At 38.3% G+C, this 20350-nt stretch overlaps 1 long non-coding RNA gene across 1 annotated transcript in view; it reads right to left on the bottom strand.

Moving 5' to 3' along the window:
- Positions 1-20350, bottom strand: part of NPHP3-AS1 (NPHP3 antisense RNA 1) — a 152462-nt gene that overhangs the window by 44681 nt on the left and 87431 nt on the right. The window contains exons 6-9 of the long non-coding RNA NR_002811.2: positions 16656-16822; positions 12566-12841; positions 10416-11184; positions 1525-1585 (exon numbers count right to left, since the gene is read on the bottom strand). This is a non-coding gene — a long non-coding RNA (NPHP3 antisense RNA 1). The remainder of the gene's footprint in view (positions 1-1524; positions 1586-10415; positions 11185-12565; positions 12842-16655; positions 16823-20350) is intronic.

Genomic DNA, 20350 nt, shown 5'->3' with positions numbered 1-20350 from the left:
ACGACATGCCAGGGTGCGCGTGCACAGAGTGACGACCATGTGAAGAGGCAGCGAGAGGGCCGTCATTTGTGAGCCAAGGAAAGGAGCTGCAGAGGAAGCCAACTTGGCTGGCACCTAGATCTTAGACTTCTAGCTTCCAGGACTGTGGGAAAATAAATTTCTGTTGCTTAAGCCTCCCATCTGTGGTATTTAGTATTGCAGCCCCAGCAAACCATTACAAGATAGAATAGAAAGATACTTTAGCTCATGGTGAGAGCATCAGGGACTAGAAGAGCTATATTTGCAGCAAATGGCGAGAGTGTGTCATTACAGGATTGTGGATATGGGAGCCTGCGAGGTGGCGGAGAAAATATAAGATGGAAGAGGGACTATAAATGCTGAAGCGTTCATTTAATTCCCTGGGCAGACAGTGAGCTTCTAGAATTTGGTTTCCAGAATGGTAATTCTGATGGTAGATGAGAGAATAGTTCCAGGGAAACCAGTAGGGTAGCTTGAAATTTATGAGCAAGAGATAAGGAGAACCTGATCTATGGTGCTGTCCATGGGATGCAAAAGTGTGAGTGGATTTAAGAAGCATTTCAGAGGAAAAAAACTAAAAAGATTCTGTTGGCCAACTGGAAGCAGAGGAAATGGTACAGCAAAACTCTATCTGCAATAAAATCAAATTTCCACAAGTTCGAAACTGGTCCTTAACCCAACTGGATACTCATTCCTTGCCCAGAGATTACAGAAAACATTCTTTTCAAGGAACAAATAAACTGTACTTAAGTTTTAAGATGGGTAAAAGAAATTAAAAAATGACTTAACCTGAAGGAATTTCTGGATAGAAATTCCTGGATAGAGAAAATTAGGTGTCATAAATTAGAGAAGAGAAAGAGATGGTTTTAATGGATAATTAAAACTAGACAGGACAATGAAAGATAGTTTATCAATACAGCATTAGGAAGTGTTGGAATGATGTGTATATGGGCCTTACAAGGCAAAAGGAGATGGCAGCCTTAAAAATGAGATCTGCTTCTATGAGGATGGGTTAGAAATTTATTACTTTAATATAAATTTTAAATTGATGCCAGAGTTTTAAATAATAACAGCATTGTTACACAAAATGTGGGTGTTTTTATCCTGCATTCGAACGTTTGCTCTTAGTAATGTTCTTTGAAACTGATAACCTAATTATACAGATGTTCATTCTTGTATGTAGTCAAAAAAGAACCAGCCTAGCCACACTCAATGCCTGAAGATACCCTCTTTTTAGAGGCCTTATTTGAAGGGCCTTAGATCCACTGGAATTGAAGATAGCAAAATCTCGGTGATTTAAAACACAAAAAATTTCTTTGCTGATCATGCCTCAAAGCCATTGTGAGTTGTCATTCTCAGTGAGAGATTCAGGCTACTGGAGAAGGCTGATCTTAGAGGTGGTCAGTTGTCATAGTAGAGGAAAAGAGAATGTGGCAAAACATACTTTGACTCTATCCAGATATATTATGAATCATTGGCCAAAGCAAGTCACACAGCCACACTTACCATGGAAGGTGTAGAAAATAAAATCCTACTACGTGCTCTGAAGGAAAGAGTGCTGGAACATCTGTGAAATAGAACATTTGGGAAAAGTTTTAATGAATACCTAGAGCAGACTGTGGCTTAGGTCTTCAAAGCATGACCAGTAACCTTGACTTTGTATTTTTATGTGATGGAACTTACAAACTTTTCACAAAGAGCCTATTTTAAGTGAGCATTTCAGTGAAATGTTAAAAGGTATATAAGAAAGTTCATTTTTTACCGTTCATTTATAATCTTGAAAGTCATAATGCCCAACAAGTATACTAATAATAACAATAGCTAACATTTATTGAATACTGACTACATTTTGGGCACTATTCTAAGCACTTTACTTGTATTACCTAATTTTATCTCACAATAACCTTACTGAGAAGACAAAATTATTATCCCAATTACAGATAAGCAATTTGGGACACATGTAATTTTTCCAAGGCTGTACAGCCAGTACATGGCAAAGTTAAAAATATCAAACCAAGCAAAATATTTCCAGAGTATGGCTGCTTAATCACTTATTATTTGCATAATTAATAGCAAATAAAAATAAATACACATTTAATTGAAAAGGCATTTTAGTAGCTGAGCAAATGAAACCAAATTACAATGATTTGATGTTTCATTTTCATTGCTATCAACATTGCAACATTCACATACTTCTAATACCACTGGATGTTTTTACTGAATTGTTATATCACCTTTATCCATGACATAATCAGGAACTAGATATTAATATTTTAAAACACCACTATTAGATTTAAGTCCTTAATCCATCTCGAGTTGACTTTTGTATAAGGTGAGAGAAAACGATCCAGATTCATTCTTCTTCATGTGGCTTGCCAACTATCCTAGCACCATTTGTTGAATAGGGTGTCCTTTCCTCACTTTATGTTTTTGTTTGCTTTATCAAAGATCAGTTAGCTGTAAGTATTTGGCTTTATTTCTGGGTCCTCTATTCTGTTCCATTGGTTTATGTGCCTATTTTTATACTATAGTCACCATGCTGTTTCGGTGACTATGGACTTATAGCATAGTTTGAAGTCAGTTAATATGATGCCTCCAGGTTTGTTCTTTTCACTTTGGCTATGTGGGCTCTTTTTTGGTTCCATATGAATTTTAGGATTGTCTTTTCTAGTTCTGTGAAGAATGACTTGAAACCATAAAAATTCTAGAACATCAAAAAAACCCTTCTAGACATTGGCTTAGGCAAAAACTTCATGACCAAGAACCCCAAAGTAAATGCAACAAAAACAATGATAAATAGATGGGACTTAAACTAAAATGTCTCTAAAAAGCAAAAGAAACAATCAGCAGAGTAAACAGACAACCCACAGAGTGAGAGAAAATCTTCACAATCTATATATCCGACAAAGGACTAATATCCAGACTCTACAGGGAACCCAAACAAATTACCAAGAAAAAAAAAATCCCATCAAAAAATGGGCTAAGGACACGAATAGACAATTCTCAAAAGAAGATATACAAATGGCCAACAAGCATATGGAAAAATGCTCAACATCACTAATGATCAGGGAAATGCAAATCAAAACCACAATGCGATACCACCTCACTCCTTTAAGAATGGCCATAATCGAAAGGTAAAAAAAAAAAAAAAAATAGATGTTGGCAGCAATGCAGTGAAAGGGGAACACTTTCACACTGCTGGGAATGTAAACTAGTACAACCGCTGTGGAAAACAGTGTGGAGATTCCTTAATGAACTAAAAGTAGAACTACCATTTGATGCAGCAATCCCACTGCTGGGTATCTACTCAAAGGAAAAGAAGTCATTGTACGAAAAAGATACTTGCACACACACGTTTATAGCAACACAATTTGCAACTGCAAAAATATGGAACCAGCCCAAATTCCCATCAATCAATGAGTGGATAAAGGAATTGTGAGATATACACACACACACACACACACACACATATACACACACACACACATATATATACACACATACACACACACACACACACACACACACACACATACCATGGAGTACTATTCAGCCATAAAAAGGAATGAAATAATGGCATTCACAGCAACCTGGATGGAGTTGGAGACCATTATTCTAAGTGAAGTAACTCAGGAATGGAAAACCAAACATCGTATCTTCTCACTTATAAGTTGGAGCTAAGCTATGAGGATGCAAAGGCATAAGAATGATATAATGGACTTTGCGGGCTTGGGGAAAAGGGTAAGAGGGGGTGAGGGATAAAAGCCTACAGACTGGGTACAGTGTATCTCAAGCAGCAGGCAATTCCTCGGGTGATGGGTGCACCAAAATCTCAGAAATCACCACTGAAGAACTTATTCACGTAACCAAACACCACCTGTTCCCCAAAAACCTATGGAAATAAAAAATAAATTAGTAAATCGAAAGAAAAAAAAACACTTTTTCTAAAGGAACTCACAGCACCAGAGGCATGTGATATTTTATGTAAAATTTACCTTATGGACTATAAGATTCTAATTCCTTCAGATCAATGTAATGAACTATTTTTGCTAAACTACATACAGCCACCTGTACTCCTCCACTACTTTCTTCTGGAAATCACCCCTTCCCATCCTCTGCCCCACTCTATCAAGATGGTAAACTCTAGACTAATCATCTTGCACAAAGTGTCCCTGGCTTCAGTTAATTGGTCCAGGAGAAGATATGTAGGCCAATCACCTCCCATGACCTGTCCTGGCTAGCAGATTGGTTCTAGGGTAAGCATAGTATCCAAGCTGACCACTTAGGGTCCTTCACCAGGGATTTGGCCATTGAAAACAAGGAAGGTCAATCTCTTCCCAGGTGACTGAAATTATAAATGAAAAACTCAGATAGGTTCTGTTAACAGCCATGTTTCCTTCCCATGTGAGCAGAGTATGCCAGTTGAGAGAGTGAGAAAGAAAGAAATGAAGTACAAAATAAAGATAAAGACACAGAAAGGCAAAAGGTGAAGTCAGAGGTCTGCTGAACATTGGCAGCCCAGCCCCACTTCTGCTCTTGAGATCTTTGAGACACCACAGCATCTCTGCTCCAACCACTGTTACTTGGCTTTCTATCATTTGCAACCAAAATAGTTCAAATTAAGGTAATCAATTTCTCAAATTCTTTATCCAACTGGAGTATTAATTAAAGATTTAAAAAAGAACATATGTGCAATCATGGTTCTTATGATTCACCAAAGGAAATAAAGTGATCAAAACTGAACAGAAGGTTGAAGGGATTTCATGATGGATAATTACTCATATAACGCAACCACAAGAAAAGGGGTAATTCCGAGTTTTCTCTAATTTTTGCCTGTGCTTGCAAAAGGATAAAGAAGCCAGAATCCACATGGTATCTACTGGTTACAAAGAAAGGAGCAATAATAGGATAAAAATAATTTGAAGCATGCTATCAAATGAGTTGAAACCCAATTTCTGCATCCCTGATGGGTGGCCAAATTTTAGGGACACCCCTTTTCCAAAGCTCTCTTGTAACATTCTCATACCTTTGAGATTCTGATAGGATCCTATCTTCCCGGGCTAAAAAATAAATTCCTCCTCAAGACATTGATTATGGAAATGGTCATCAGAATTCCTCTCCATGATCATGAGACACTAGAATTTGGAGGGGGGCCAGCTTCACTTAAGAAGGTGTTTTTCTAACCCCCTTCTCTTTTAACCCCCTAAATTCTCCTGATAGCCATTTTGACAATGTTTCAAACTGAACAGGTTTTTAAAGTAAAAAGAAATCATATTATATCATCATTATCAATTCAATCAATCCTTAATTATTTGATGGGAATAAAATGTGAATTATGTCAAGCAGCAGATAATTACAATTTAACTCTTAAACTAGTTTATTTGCTTTGTGGACTTCCCAAGATCTCTTCCCCACCATCATACCACAGGATTCTAGGTTATAAAAGAAGTATCAAGTTGGAAGAAACTTGGAGCTAGGAATAGAAGAGAAGAGTTTTGACTGTCAGTAAATATGGGAGTGGGTGTATCTCAATATCAAAAATACATTATTTTTAGGTAATCTGTCTGTCTTTTTATGTGGATAACTAAATAATTACTAGAACTAGCTTTGTAATGCAGTTATATGCTCAGATATATACATACACACGCACACCTTCACCAAACTGAGAAAAGCTTCTCTTTATGTTTGACTCTCTATTGGTACACTTTAGTAAGAAATGATATGAAACAAGAGAAAATGCTAGCTCCTATTTTATGAGGAAGAATTCTATCTTAGCCTGGATTCCCCCAAAGCAGAGCCTGAGGCAAAAACTTCCTTCCAGATAGTTTATTTTGGAATATGCTTCCCAGGAAGCAAGTGTACAGGACAGGGAAAGCAAAATAGGAAGAAGGCAAAGCTGATACAGGGATGTATTACTGAGTTGGCCACTACTATGAGCAGCCAGTGCTTGGTCTACCAGGATGTGCCAGAGTCTGGTGACCTGCATCTCAGAAGCGTCCATCCTGGGGACAAAAGAGGGAAGGATTTATCTGTCTCCTCCTTTCTCCCACTCAAGGATTTACTCCCCTAAAGTTTTAGAAATTTGAATATCTGTAATTATGGAGCAGAATTCCATGTCTGTGGCACCAGCAAGCCATAAGGCGTGAAACTAGAGGTATATGGCCATGGCATGAGTGCATAACAAGTCTCAGTCTAATTGTACCTGCATGAAGCAGATTCAGTTCTGCAAGAACTAGTAGTCATAAAAGTAGCTTGGTTAAGAAGTAAACCTGAGAAATAGACAAAGTTGTTCAATATAAACAAATAAGGTTGAAATGAATCAAGAGATTCATTTCAAGACAGCTGTTAGGAATTTATCTTATGTCAAAAATGCCATACCTCTGCTCGCAAACATGCACCCATCATCACTGTGTTAACTAAAGAGGGAAGAATAGTTTTCTCTGTATCATCCCTGCCACCAGAGAAAAATGTAGCAGCTCTCATCTAGCACAAGCTTTCAGCATCTGAGAGTGACAAAGACAGATGGCATATTTCTGAAATATAATTTGATTGTTTGGTGGGGACTTGAAAGAGTATCTTGGGTTCAACAAATACAAGATCACACATGGCTAAAAAATATTCAGCAGCAAACTAAAAACAGAATTTAAAAGCTCGAGTAATTATTATTTTGCATGAAAAGCAACTAATAGTCTCCAGGTCAAACCATCCTCAAGGCTTAAAAGCAGCAAGACTCCCATGGGTTTGGCTTAAAATGATCCATGGACCTCATATTTATGTGCATACCCCATAAGAGAGGTACAAAATTAGACAATGTACCCTATACAAAAAGGAGAATTTGTCTTAAGACAAAATCCACTCAAAGCCTCAATATAAAGAACAAAGATGTGACCAAAAGAAAGTTTAAAAAATTGTACATCTTTGCATTTATTCATTTGATCCTTGCTAGTCTTGGCATAAGCCATGACTCTCTGTGAATGAGCCCCTAGAGGAAACTGGGCTATGGTGTTCAGGAAAACAAGGCAACTGGCAGACCTAAGAGAAAGGATTATATTTCCCATAGGATTCCCATGGGAATTTGAGGCTAAACTCTTGGCTTATTTCACTGCAGACAAATATTTTATATATAGTGATCCAAAAGCTCTCCTAGTTGACTCACCAACTTGAACCATGAGCGTCTACCCCAGGTGAGTCCACATTCCTCAACAGGCTGACCACACACTGGAAGCCACAAGATTCACTGCCAAGTGGGCAGCAAATGCCAATAATGTCAGGCTAGTAGGCAGAATTTCCATGGAGAAAGTACTTTATAAATGCTAATGTAATTATCTTAAAAAGTTAACCTCAAGTTTTAAAAAAATTGTCCTCATTAATCATATTCACTATTAAAACTAAGCCATGAGGCTTAATGCCTTGGGAAAGGAGGCAGAGCCACCTAGAACAAAGATGTCTGCAGATGAACAGGAAGAAGGGAATGCCTTAGGGGGTATCCCCAACAGAGAGGGCAGGTCATACCCTATCTGGAGGGGAAAAAAGATTGAGAAGGAAAGAATGTAGGAGGAAGGGTTTGCTTGGTCTCATAAGGGGCCAGTGCTCCCACCCCTCTGCTCCTTAGCTCAGGCAGCAGGAGTGGACGATGAAAGGAGAGAAATGCAAGATAGAGAGAAGGTAATAAAAACAGGATTCAGACATGCCCACAGGCCAATGAGGGGCACAAAAATTGTAGCTGAGAGTAAAGATTACCAGGCTGAAAAAGTAACTCCATGGGGTGGACATGGGCCATGGAGTGGACATCCTGGGCAAGGATACTGGATAAGGCTTAGGTGGGACTTGAGAGCTGAGGACCTAGGAGAGGACCTGTTCTCCTAGCAAGGCCTAGGAGAACCTAGATAGAACTGAATCAGCAGCAGTCCTAGCCATCAACTTCTGCAGTTGAAGCCAGGAGGGTATCCAGGGAACAGCAAGAGCATAAAGCCCTCTTCTCCCGTCTGCCACAAGGATAAATTAGCTGCCCTCTATGTCGAGATACTGTGTTGTCCAGGGAAGAAACTCTGAGAGCTTGAATATGCATATAAAATGAGACTGTTACCATCAATTGGCACATTTTAAGTTCCCTGGCCAGCCTCTAATGAGATGCAGACTTGATGGCCAAGTGAAATAAATTATAGAAAATAATAGTATAATACATGCACATCTGAATTGTGTCTTTCAGAATAAGTTATGCTGAGGTCATAAACTGTGTCAAAATCTCAGCAGCTCAATACAATATGTTATTTCTTGCCCATAGAAGATGTGTATCTCACATCAGCAGGTCTATGGGTGGGGACTCTCTGCTCCATATTGTCCTCGCTCTAGCACCCGGACTATTGGAGTCTCTGTCATCTAGAATATCTCAGCTTCTGATAGCAGAGGAAAAAGAGTGGTGGGTCATAACACCAACACATAACACCATAAATACTTTGGTTCACACATCACTTTTGCCCACAACCCAGGGGCCAGACTAGTTACATGACTCCATCCAAACAAAAGATGGAAGGGCAAGAGTAACCTCCCCTGAGCTGAGAAGAGAAGTGAACAGGATAGGGTAAGCACTAAAAGCCTCTACCACATAAGCCAGAGACTTACCCTACTACATAAATTATTATTCTGTTTGAGAGTTTGAGTTACACAAAATTCACATGATCTCCCAGCAATCAAAATGTAAGTTCTCCACCTCTGACCCAGGTCATCTTTTTCCTTTTCCTTTCCTTTTCTTTTTTTTTCTAAACTTATCTTGGAACTGGTCTGGACTTGCTCATCCCTAATCCAACCTCCCACTGCTACTTTCCTTCCAGATCTTTTCAACAGTGCCTCCATGAGGTGATCCATTCCTAGGAAAACTAACTTCTCTATCCTTGGTTCTCTCACTTTCCCTGACCCCCAAATACTTCCCAGCCTTTATCAAGTCAGCCTGGACCCTACAATGCTCTCATAGCACCCACCTTGACCTTGGATGCCTCTGCCCCTGCAACCACTCAAACAGCCAAATCCCAACACTTGTAGGAACTTGATAGTCCAACGTTCTAAGGTTCCAATATACAGAGGCTGATAAAAATCACATAAAAATCATATAAAAATCAATAAAGCTCTGCCTTAGCTGTATGATACTTTGAAAACTGCAAAACTCTGGCCCATTTGAACAGCATTATGCATTGAGATCAACATTAATATTTTATGACCTAGGCACTCTTTATTTTTAAAAAGGTTTCTTCCTGCTTGGTGTCATCTTGTTCAAGAGGGTTAGTAGGGAGCCTAGAATTTCCTCTGATGGGACTGTATATGGGCAAAGCCAGAAACATCACCCCGATGTTTCCACTCATAGCATATTCACTACTTGGGAATTAGAAATCATGTCAAATATTAATAATTCCCCAAATTTTATTCACATATTTGTGTTCACTTTGTCCTGAACCTTTATAACACCAATAATGTCAATCATTTTTCTCTCAGTCTTTATCTAGAAATTCTGAATCTTTTCAGCTTGTCATCTAACAGAGACCAAACCACCCATCACTTCTAAAAATGGGTCCATGGCACTGACTTTGTATGTGGAAAAAGACAAGCTTGTTTCCCTAGATCTCAATCTACAGAGATAAAGGGTATGATTTAGTCTGATTCTCTTTGCACATGCCTTGAGGGAAATCGGTAGATGTTAAGCAAAGGATATGGTAGAATTCACTAGTATTTGATCAGGGAGGGGGTCAGCTTTATAGGAGAGCTTCTCTCTGCTCTCCTGTGGGTGATACCTGCACACTCTCAAGGGCTTTCAGTAATTGTTTGCATCTCCACAATATGTCACTTCCTTGTGCCCTTGTGAGAAGCTTGTCATATAGCAACACTCTGTACAAATGCTGTCCTAATGAAACAGCGAACCTGAGATACAGACAGACCTTTTGCAAAGCAGCATTTTCATGGTCTGCAGAATAGGAATCCAAAAATTTTTAAAAAAATGTAAAAAGGATATTTCTAAAATCAATGTAAAAGTTCTTACCTCACCCAGTCTCTCAGAGGTGTTTATCTCCTCTCTACTTTCCAGGCAAAAGACTGCAAATCTAACAGTTTATGCTCATGATAGTCACTAAATCTTTGGCAGATTGTATTTTTGCAAAGATGGCTGCACCAATCTGTATATCCCATCTACATGCTCTGCTTCCAATGTGGTTGACGCTCGTGCCACTGAAATGTGGAACCTTTATTGCTTCCACTGAACCTGGGTGAGCTTGAGACTGCCCCTACCAATTGAGGACAGCAGAAGCGATGCTGTATGACTTCTGAAGTTAGGCCATACAAAGCACACAGTGCCCCACTGGCTCTCCTTTACGGCACTCACCCTTGAAACTAACCCTTTAGGGCACACTCACCTTTGGACTAACTCGCAGCATGGTGACAAACTAGTCCAAACTAGTCCATGCAGAGAGACCACATGAGAAGCCCACGTGGAGAGGAACTGTGGCTCCATTTGGCACCTAGAAGCAGCTGCTGGTCGAGTGAGTGAGTGAACCTTCAGATGATTCTAGCGCATAGCCCTCCTGTCTTCCATCTGATGACCAGGCATTGTGGAGCAGGACAAGCCATTCATGCTGCGCCCATTCCAAATTCATTACCCACAGAATTACAGAGTATAATAAATGTTTTATTCCATTAAATTTTAGGGTGATTTGTTATGCAGCCACAGTAACTGGAACAAAACATTTCCGGGTATTTCATCTCTCGTTTCATCTTTATATGACTCTTAGGGTGACTTTTTCAAACAACCTGAAAATTATATGATTGCATCTAGGATAGTGGGAAGATAATTTCTGTTCATTCACTCAACAAAATAGGATTTTGCTTCTCCAGTTATAAAATGAAGGCAGTTCTCAAGGTCACAGATTAACAAAACAGTCAAAATGTTTCTTCTCTTTACTTTTCACAAGAGCGCAGAAGTTTTTTGAAATAAACTCTGTTCCTCACATTGATAAAGCCCTAGAGTCCAAAGGAAATATTTGTTTTTGTGCCTCCTTGGCTTCCTCTTAACCTACAAAGAGTTGAAGAGTGGAGAGTACTTTCAAAAAGAGATCAACTATAACTTCAGTGCCCAATAATCTGTGAGAGATCTGGAACAAGTGGCCTGCAGGGCTAGTTTTCATCCTAAAGATAAAATGATAAGAACCTGTTTAGTAAGGAAAAGAGTGAGTGAGTAATAAGCTAGAAATATAATGAAAATATTAAATGGTAGTAAGAATAAAAGCTCTCCAATAACTTTTGTGAAAACCTGAGTGACAGTTTTTATTTTAACTTACATTTTATCAGTTCCAAAGAGACTCTAACTAGACTTCCCTTTTCTGTCAACACACCCCCACTCTAGGTATGCTTATCTAGCCTTTAGCTTTGAATCTCTCTTTTCTGACAATTCCTCAAATTTGCATCTTCAGCCCAGACTTTGTTCCAGACACTAGACTCATATATTCATCCACCTACCCAACATCTCCACTTTATGTCTAACAGGCATCTCCTATCAACTTGTCCAAAAATGGATCCTGTTGTTCCTTCCCAGACCTGTTCCTCCCCCTGCCTTCCCCATCTCAGTTGATAGTGATTCCATCCCACTGACTCAGGACAAAACCCCCGACATCTTGGTCACTCTTTCACAAACCACAACCCATCTGTCAACAAATCCTATTGGCTGGAGCCTCAAGTCATATCTAGAATCCAACCACCTCCCATGACCTCTTCTAATACTAATCTGGTCTAAACCAACACGATCTTTTGCCTATGTTACTGCAACAGCCTCCTACCTGGTCTCCCTGCTTCCAGCCTTGCCTTCCTATGGTCCATTCTCAACCCCGAAGCCAGAACGATCCTTTTAAAAATATGAGTCAAATTAATGTGCTTTCTCTGCTCAGAATTCTTTAATGGCTTTGCATCTCACTTATAATAAAAGCCAAATTGTTTTAAATGTCAAATAAGGCCCTCCATGATTGGCCCCTCTCACGCCCCACTTATTCTTCTTCCCCGGCTCACTGTGCACTAGGGTCACTGGTTTCCTGACTATTCCTATAAGATGCCTCTTGACGTAGTGCTTTTGGACTTGCTCTTCTCTCTGCCAGGAACACACCCTCTCCCAATCCGCTCCACATCTGTGTGGCTCATTCCTCATGTCCTTTACCTTATAATTTCCCCAAATTAATTAAGGCCTTCCCTCACCACCCAATTTAGACGAATAAATACCATGTTCTGTCACTGCAGGTTCCTCTTCCCTATATTATTTTTCTCCAAAGTACTTATTGTCCCCAACATTAAATAAGTAAACGGACCTGTTTGTTCATTCACTTATTGTCCATCTTCCCCATTTAGAATGTAACTTCCATTAGAGCCGGAATTTTTTGGTCTATTTTGCATATTGCTATATTTCCAGTGCCCAGAATAGTCTCTGGCATATATAAATGGCCAAAACAGCACAGACCTTTTCATGAGTAAGGGAACAACAAAGGAGCCATTGGACCATAGTCAATTCACAGCCAAGCACTACCTGAGCAGGCAACAGAAAACATATGGAGAGCTTTGGAGAATGCACACATCTGTCCAGCCTGTTCCTGGTTCCCCAAGTTGTACTGGAAATTCTCCTGGGTGCAGAGCAGTGGCAGCAAACTTGAGGGTCTTTGGTCACCCTTGTCTCTACCTCAGGGGATTGATTCATCATTGCCTCATTAAAAGTGCAAGCTTTGGTGCCAGTCTGGCTTCATCATCTACTAACTTTTTGGGAGATTCTGGACAAGCTAGCCACGTTGAGTTTTGGTTTCCTTATCTGTAAAATAAAGATAATGCTAGCTATTTTTCATAGGAAATGCAATGAAGATTAAGTGAGCTAATACACAGAAATAAAGGGTAAATAAATATAAACTGTAATTGTATAAGAGAAAAACCTTGACTTGAGCCTACTAAGCACCGATAGTCATACGTTCTTTGTAATTGTTGGATACGTGCTCAGTCACAAATGGACAAACGACAGGTTGGTTACTACTGTAAGATTTATTGGCCTAAAAGAGGAGGGAATTGACAATTTTTTAGTGCCCTCAAGTGGGGTTACTTCATATACATGATTTTATTTCATGCTAATAAAAAATACTTGTGAGGTAAATATAACAATCACTTTAAAGTGATGTGTGGTTCAGAGAGTTTAAGTAACTTGCTGAAACTCACATGGTCATGTAGCTAAGAATTACAAAGCCATTTCCTAAACACCAAGCCATTCTTTTAGACTTTTAAAATTAACCTCTCTACCCATGATTTTTCAATGTGTTAAAGACAGCTATTCTACATAAAATGTAAATGGAAGGAACATTATAGTAGAAAGTAAAACAAAATAATTAGTAGAAAATGGGAAAAGTCTTATACAAAAGAATACATGCTGTATGATTCCATTTACATGAAATTCCACAACAGATAAAAGTAAGCTATAGTCATAAAATCAAAATAGTGATTGCCTCATGTGGATGTTTTGGGGACTGGTTGGGAAAAGGTGAAAGGAACGTACTGGTGAGATAGAAATCTCCTATATCTTGATAGTGGGTTTTAAGAAATCTCCTATATCTTGATAGTGTATGCATTTGTCAAAATTCATCAGACTGTATACTTAAGATCTGTGTTTCACTGTACATAAATTGCATTTAAAATTTACAAGTTTAAGTCAGAAAGAAAAATGAATTTTAGACTTGGAACCCAACTGAAAAATAATATCACTATTTATTATGATGATGGAGGTTTGGAAATCAAACTCATCTTTGAGATGAAGTGAAGTACACAACATTAAGTAACTTTTATGTTCCATACAACCGGGAGTGATGGAGCTGGGAATCAAACTCAGCCACGTGATTTACCACCTCAATACAGCTGTCTCTGAAAAGGACTTGTCATGACAATGATAAAGCTGAAAAGGGAAGATTTTGGTTCATTTGTTACAAATATATACCAAGTTTTCAGCGTCAGTGTCATGTGGATAAAGAGAATATATGAATCCTAAGTAGCCCATCTAGACTTTATTCAAAGAGGTACCTTAATAGGAAATTACAAGGAAAGTTAATAATCTACAGAACCATAGGGGTAGAAAGAAAAATGAGATTTTGACTCCTAAGCCCCAACACATTTCTTTATATTCATATTTGACCTTGCTTAAATAAAAAAAAAATTAATCTTATCTTTACAGGAATAAATGAAGTAAACATATGGCTTTGAATTGTAACAAAGAATGAACTTTATATTGAATAACCACCATAACCTAGATTAACTCATTTCAAATGAACTCCATTTAAAACTAACATGGAAGCTTTAACCATATTGTATGTGGCCTATTTTTAATGCATCTCTCTATAGACAGTAGTTTTTATTTAAGAGAGAGAAGCAAGAATAAAAGTATTCCAGAATAGTTAGGAGCCTTATGGCACATTATTTCCCAATAGTCCTTTTATTTAATTATTGAATTCTCTGTATCTTCCTTAGTAAGGCAAAATCCTAGGCAATTTACATTCACACAACCAAACAGTACATAGCCAACTTAGCATGCAGAGGGTTGCAAAAAGCAACTCTATGGATCAGGTAAGACATTAACCACCATAAAGAAACAACAAAAAATAAATAACAGAATCTTGCTTACCACACAGGCTTCTAACTGTAAAAACTTTCTTGATATTTATCTCGAATGAGACTATAAACAGAAAGACCTCTAAAGAGAAAAGCATTGATTTGGGTATAACTTTCATTGAAAGTTACATAATATAATTAATGGTAATACTGAAGAATCTAATTGGTGCATAGAACCAAAACTTCTGCAAAAACCCTAAACTACATTTCACAGGAGTTCAAGTCTTTTATAGGAGACCTTAGAACAGTGCTGCCCACTAGACCTTTCTGTGATCATGGAAATGTTCAGTATCTGCTCTGTCCAATACAGTAGCTGCTAACCACATGTGGAGTTGAGCACTTGAAATGTGCCTCCTGTGACTGAGGAACTAAATTTTAAATTTTATTTAATTTTAATTAATTTAAATTTACCTGCATGTGACAGCTACTATATTGGACAGTGCAGCCTTACAATAGGTTCAAAAAAATAGATAAACATTCAAAACTGACCTAATCTTTTTTTTAAAAAGCCCTGCTTATTCTGCCATTTCCCAAACTGACTTCTGAACATTAGACTTATGTCTGCATGGTTTAAAAAATCTTATTTGTTGTAGATACCTGCTGTTTCCGAAGGGGGATCTTACAGCCATGTCTGATAAAAGTTTGCCCATAATAAAATGGATTGTGACATTCAGAAACACTCTTACTCCTTCCCTTGACCCATGAGATTCCCAGAGCATAGCCTACAAAGTTGATGTATACCTTTATCTAATTCTTGGATTTTGAACCAAGAAAATAACAAGGTTTCCTGGTGGGTTTCTTAAGGAAAAAAAAAAAAACTAAAAAGGTCTGACAGTCTGGCCTCCCTTTGGCAAGAACTTATTTCTCTTACTAGCGCATTTCTTCCATGTGGTTTGCTCCGCCACATGCTGTAATGCTATAGCATTATAATCCTCTAGATTTCTACCATCTCCCAAATAAATGTAGTCATTGGTGGAAACCAATCATGGAATCTATGTAGTGAAATTCACTTCAACTAACCAAAGCATTAAGCTTTGATTATGAACAAGGCCATAAATGTAGCTAGAGATAGAATGTGGATTTCATGTAATCCACTAGTAATAACTGCCAGAAGCAGTTGTTAATCAATTAATAATGTCCTGAGATGCCTTGATGTACATTTAGGCTTAGTAGAAAATCATATTGTAATCATATAGTAATATCTTCCATGGGCTCACAAATAGGGATTTGTGGCTTCTGTGCTGTGTATCTGCCATCCCTCTAGAAGGCAATGTAAGGATACACAACTGAGTAAAACGGAATCGAAATACATTTGCCACTAAATATCCTACAATGGAGCATGGTAGGTACAATAGGAGAACAGAGATAATAGAGATCAGTTGCAATTGGAAATATTGTGAATGGCATCATGGAAGAGGTGGCATTTCAGCTGGGTCTCCAAAGAATGGTGGATTGAGGAATAAATAAGGAGAGCAAAGGCATTGCCAGCAATAACAGACACAGGAATGCACAGCATGTCAGAGGAAGGGCAAATGTTGTGTGACAAGGGCAGAGAGGGATTACACTAAAAGATAATACTAAAAAGGTAACGTGGAGACAGATCCCAAAGGCACTGCATGCCATGCTTTGGAGACTGTTTTGTAGTGATAGGCAGCCAGCAAAGTTTTTGAGCAAAGTTCTAGCATGGTCAAAACTGTATTTCAGGAAGATAAGTTTGGCTGCCATGAGCAGGATGGATAGGTGAAATAAGATGTCAAAGGTAACATGTTATTCTATTAATTTATTTATAATATGAGCTTCACAAATTTCCAAATTTGGGTTGAGAAGCCTTACTATTCAATCACTGTTGGTTGCTATTTTAACAACCATTTTTTCTTCTTTATTAGTTTATAAATTCTTAATCTTGTTCAGATAGCAAAATGAACAACAAAATTCACCTTACTTTAAAGACATCTTATCTCAGAAAGATAAGGGCCTTTCACCTTATCTCAAAAGTTGAATCATTATTGGCCTCTAAAATCCATTGCCCAGCCAGGGCAGGCACAGTGGTTTATGCCTGTAATCCCAGCTCTTTGGAAGGCTGAGGCAGGAGGACTGCTTGAGGCCAGAAGTTCAACATCATCCTGGGCAGCACAGTGAGACTCTGTCTCTAAAAAGAATTTAAAAAATATTAGTTAGGTGTGGTAGTGTATACCTGTAGTCCTAGCTACTAGGGAGGCTGAGATGGGAGGATCGCTTGACCCTAGGAGTTTGAGGTTGCAGTGAGCTATGATCACACCACTGCCCTTCAGCCTAGGGACAGGGTGACACCATGACAAGCAAGCAAGAGAAAGAAAGAAAAGAAAAGAAAAGAAGAGCAGAGGAGAGGAGAGGAAAGAAAAGGAAAGAAAAGAAAAGAAAAGAAAAGAAAAGAAAAGAAAAGAAAAGAAAAGAAAAGAAAAGAAAAGGAAAAGAAAAGAAAAGAAAAGAACCCATTGCCCTTTGCTAGTGATTGATTTGGGAGAGTCTCATTTCTGGCCAAAGAAACATTAAGTGAAGTCTTCTGGAAGGACTTTGGATATGGCTTTTCCCCCTGATAAAATCATAAATGGAAAAGAGACCTATTCCTTCTTACTGCCTAGAAAACACCTATGTGAGGATGTGATGTCTGGAGCAGTGGCAGCCACCTTGCAACCATGAGACAACAAACTAAGGTTGAAAACATAACACATAGGAAAATGGCAGAAGGAAAAGATAACAAAAATATGGGTCCTTGATACATACATATATTTATATTATCATATATATTTATATTACATATATTATTATATATATATATATATATATATATATATATATATATACACTCCTTGGCAAAAGGAAACCCCTAAGATTTGTAAGCTTTAACCCATATTCACCCTGGCTCTTTGCTTGGCAGCATTTTTCTGACCACAATGCAAGGAGATGAAATGTAAGCTGAGAGCATCAGAGAGAACAAAGGGCATTAGAGAGAATAAAGTTGACTGGCTGTGAAGTAGGTAGGGGAAAGTCCGTGTGGGTCTTCCTTGGGTTATTGGTTGAAGGCTAGGCTGCACATGTCTGGGGAAAGACCCAATGATATCTAATAGAGAGTGGCTGCTACAGGGATGTAAATTGAAGTTTGAATTAGTCAAGGTTCTCCAGAGACACACAACAAATAGGATGGATAGATAAATAGGTAGATGGATGGATAGATGACAGATAGATAGATAGACAGATAGATAGATAGATAGATAGATAGATAGATAGATAGATAAAGAGGAGTTTATTAGGAGAATTGGCACACACAATTCTGAAGGCTGAGAAGTCCCATAACAGGCTATCTACAAGCTGGAGACCCTGGGATGCCATTAGTATGGCTCAATGCAAGCCTAAAAGCCTGAGAAACTGGGGGGCCACTGGTGTAAATACTGGAATCCAAAAGCTGGATAAGCCTGGAGTTCTGATGTCCAAAAGCAAGAGAAGAGTATATCCTAGCTCCAGGATGACAGAGACCAATTTATCTTTTCTCTGTTTTTGTTCTATCCAGGTCCCCAGCCAACAGGATTGTGACACTCCTTCCCCTACCACACACACACACATACACACATTTAAAGTATATATCTGAAAGAATCGAAAGCAAGGACTCGAGCATATATTTGTACATTTGTGTTCATAGAAGCATTATTCACAATAGCCAAAAGGTGGAAGCAACTCGTGTTACTTCCATCAATAGATGGTAATTCAATATTGTTGCATCCATCAATAGATGAAAGGATAAACAAAATATGGTATATACATACAATGGAATATTATTCAGCCTTAAAAAAAAAGAAATCCTGGCTGGGCGCAGTGGCTCATGCCCATAATCCCAACACTTTGGGAGGCAAGGCAGGCAGATCATCTGAGGTCAGGAGTTCAAGACTAGCCTGGCCAATGTGGTGAAACCCCGTCTCTACTAAAAAATGCAAAAATTAGCTAGGGGTGGTGGCGGATGCCTGTGATCCCAGCTACTCAGGAGGCTGAGATAGGAGAATTGCTTGAACCCAGGAGACAGAGTTTGCAGTGAGTCAAGATCATGCCACTGCACTCCAGCCTGGGCAACAGAGCGAGACTCCATCTCAAAAAAAAAAAAAAAAAAAAAAAAAGAAATTCTGACACATTCTATAACATGGATGAACCCTAAAGACACCATGCTAAGTAGAATATGCCAGCCACAAAAGAACAAATGCTGTATGATTCCTCTTAAATGAGGTCTTATAATAGTCAAAATCATAGAGAAAGAAAGTAAAATGGTAGTTGCCAGGGTTGAAGAATTGGGAAGTTTGTGTTTCATGGTACAGTTTCAGCTTAGGAAAAAAAACGTTCTGGAGATGGGGTGTGGGTGAGGGTTGCACAAAAATGTAAATGCACTTCATTCCACTGAACTGTACACTTAAAATGGTGAAAATGATAAGTCTTGTGTTACATATATTTAGCCACAAAATCTGGCACTTATAGTAGCACTAAAATGTGATTGTGTATCTATATATAATTAAATATATATGTATGGAATAAATTCAGCAAAGACATATATACCAAAATGTATAAAACATTGCTGACAGAAATTAAAGAAGACCTAAGTAAAAGCAGTAAAAAGAATAATGTTGTAACCTCATCCTGCCTGATTTCAAAACTTATTATAAAGGTACAGCAATCAAGACAGTGTGGTATTGGTAGATACAAAAATAGATTAATGGAACAGATTTGAGAGTCCAGAAATAGACCACACATTTATTATATTCAATTGATTTTGAACAAGGAAGTTAAGGTAATTCAATGCTGGTAAATCTGAATAAGTAGTTTGAAAAATATGAACATCCCCTTTATCATTTTTTATTGTGTCTATTTGATTCTTCTCTCTTTTTTTCTTTATTAGTCTTGCTAGCCACCGATCCCACAGAAATACAAACTACCATCAGAGAATACTACAAACACCTCTACGCAAATAAACTAGAAAATCTAGAAGAAATGGATACATTCCTCGACACATACACTCTCCCAAGACTAAACCAGGAAGAAGTTGAATCTCTGAATAGACCAATAACAGGCTCTGAAATTGTGGCAATAATCAATAGTTTACCAACCAAAAAGAGTCCAGGACCAGATGGATTCACAGCCGAATTCTACCAGAGGTACAAGGAGGAACTGGTACCATTCCTTCTGAAACTATTCCAATCAATAGAAAAAGAGGGAATCCTCCCTAACTCATTTTATGAGGCCAGCATCATTCTGATACCAAAGCCGGGCAGAGACACAACCAAAAAAGAGAATTTTAGACCAATATCCTTGATGAACATTGATGCAAAAATCCTCAATAAAATACTGGCAAACCGAATCCAGCAGCACATCAAAAAGCTTATCCACCATGATCAAGTGGGCTTCATCCCTGGGATGCAAGGCTGGTTCAATATACGCAAATCAATAAATGTAATCCAGCATATAAACAGAGCCAAAGACAAAAACCACATGATTATCTCAATAGATGCAGAAAAAGCCTTTGACAAAATTCAACAACCCTTCATGCTAAAAACTCTCAATAAATTAGGTATTGATGGGACGTATTTCAAAATAATAAGAGCTATCTATGACAAACCCACAGCCAATATCATACTGAATGGGCAAAAACTGGAAGCATTCC

Source organism: Homo sapiens, chromosome 3 (assembly GCF_000001405.40).
Source record: "Homo sapiens chromosome 3, GRCh38.p14 Primary Assembly".
Classification (NCBI taxonomy): domain Eukaryota; kingdom Metazoa; phylum Chordata; class Mammalia; order Primates; family Hominidae; genus Homo; species Homo sapiens.
Note: the sequence above shows the minus strand (reverse complement) of the source record. Positions and strands in the feature narration are given on the sequence as shown.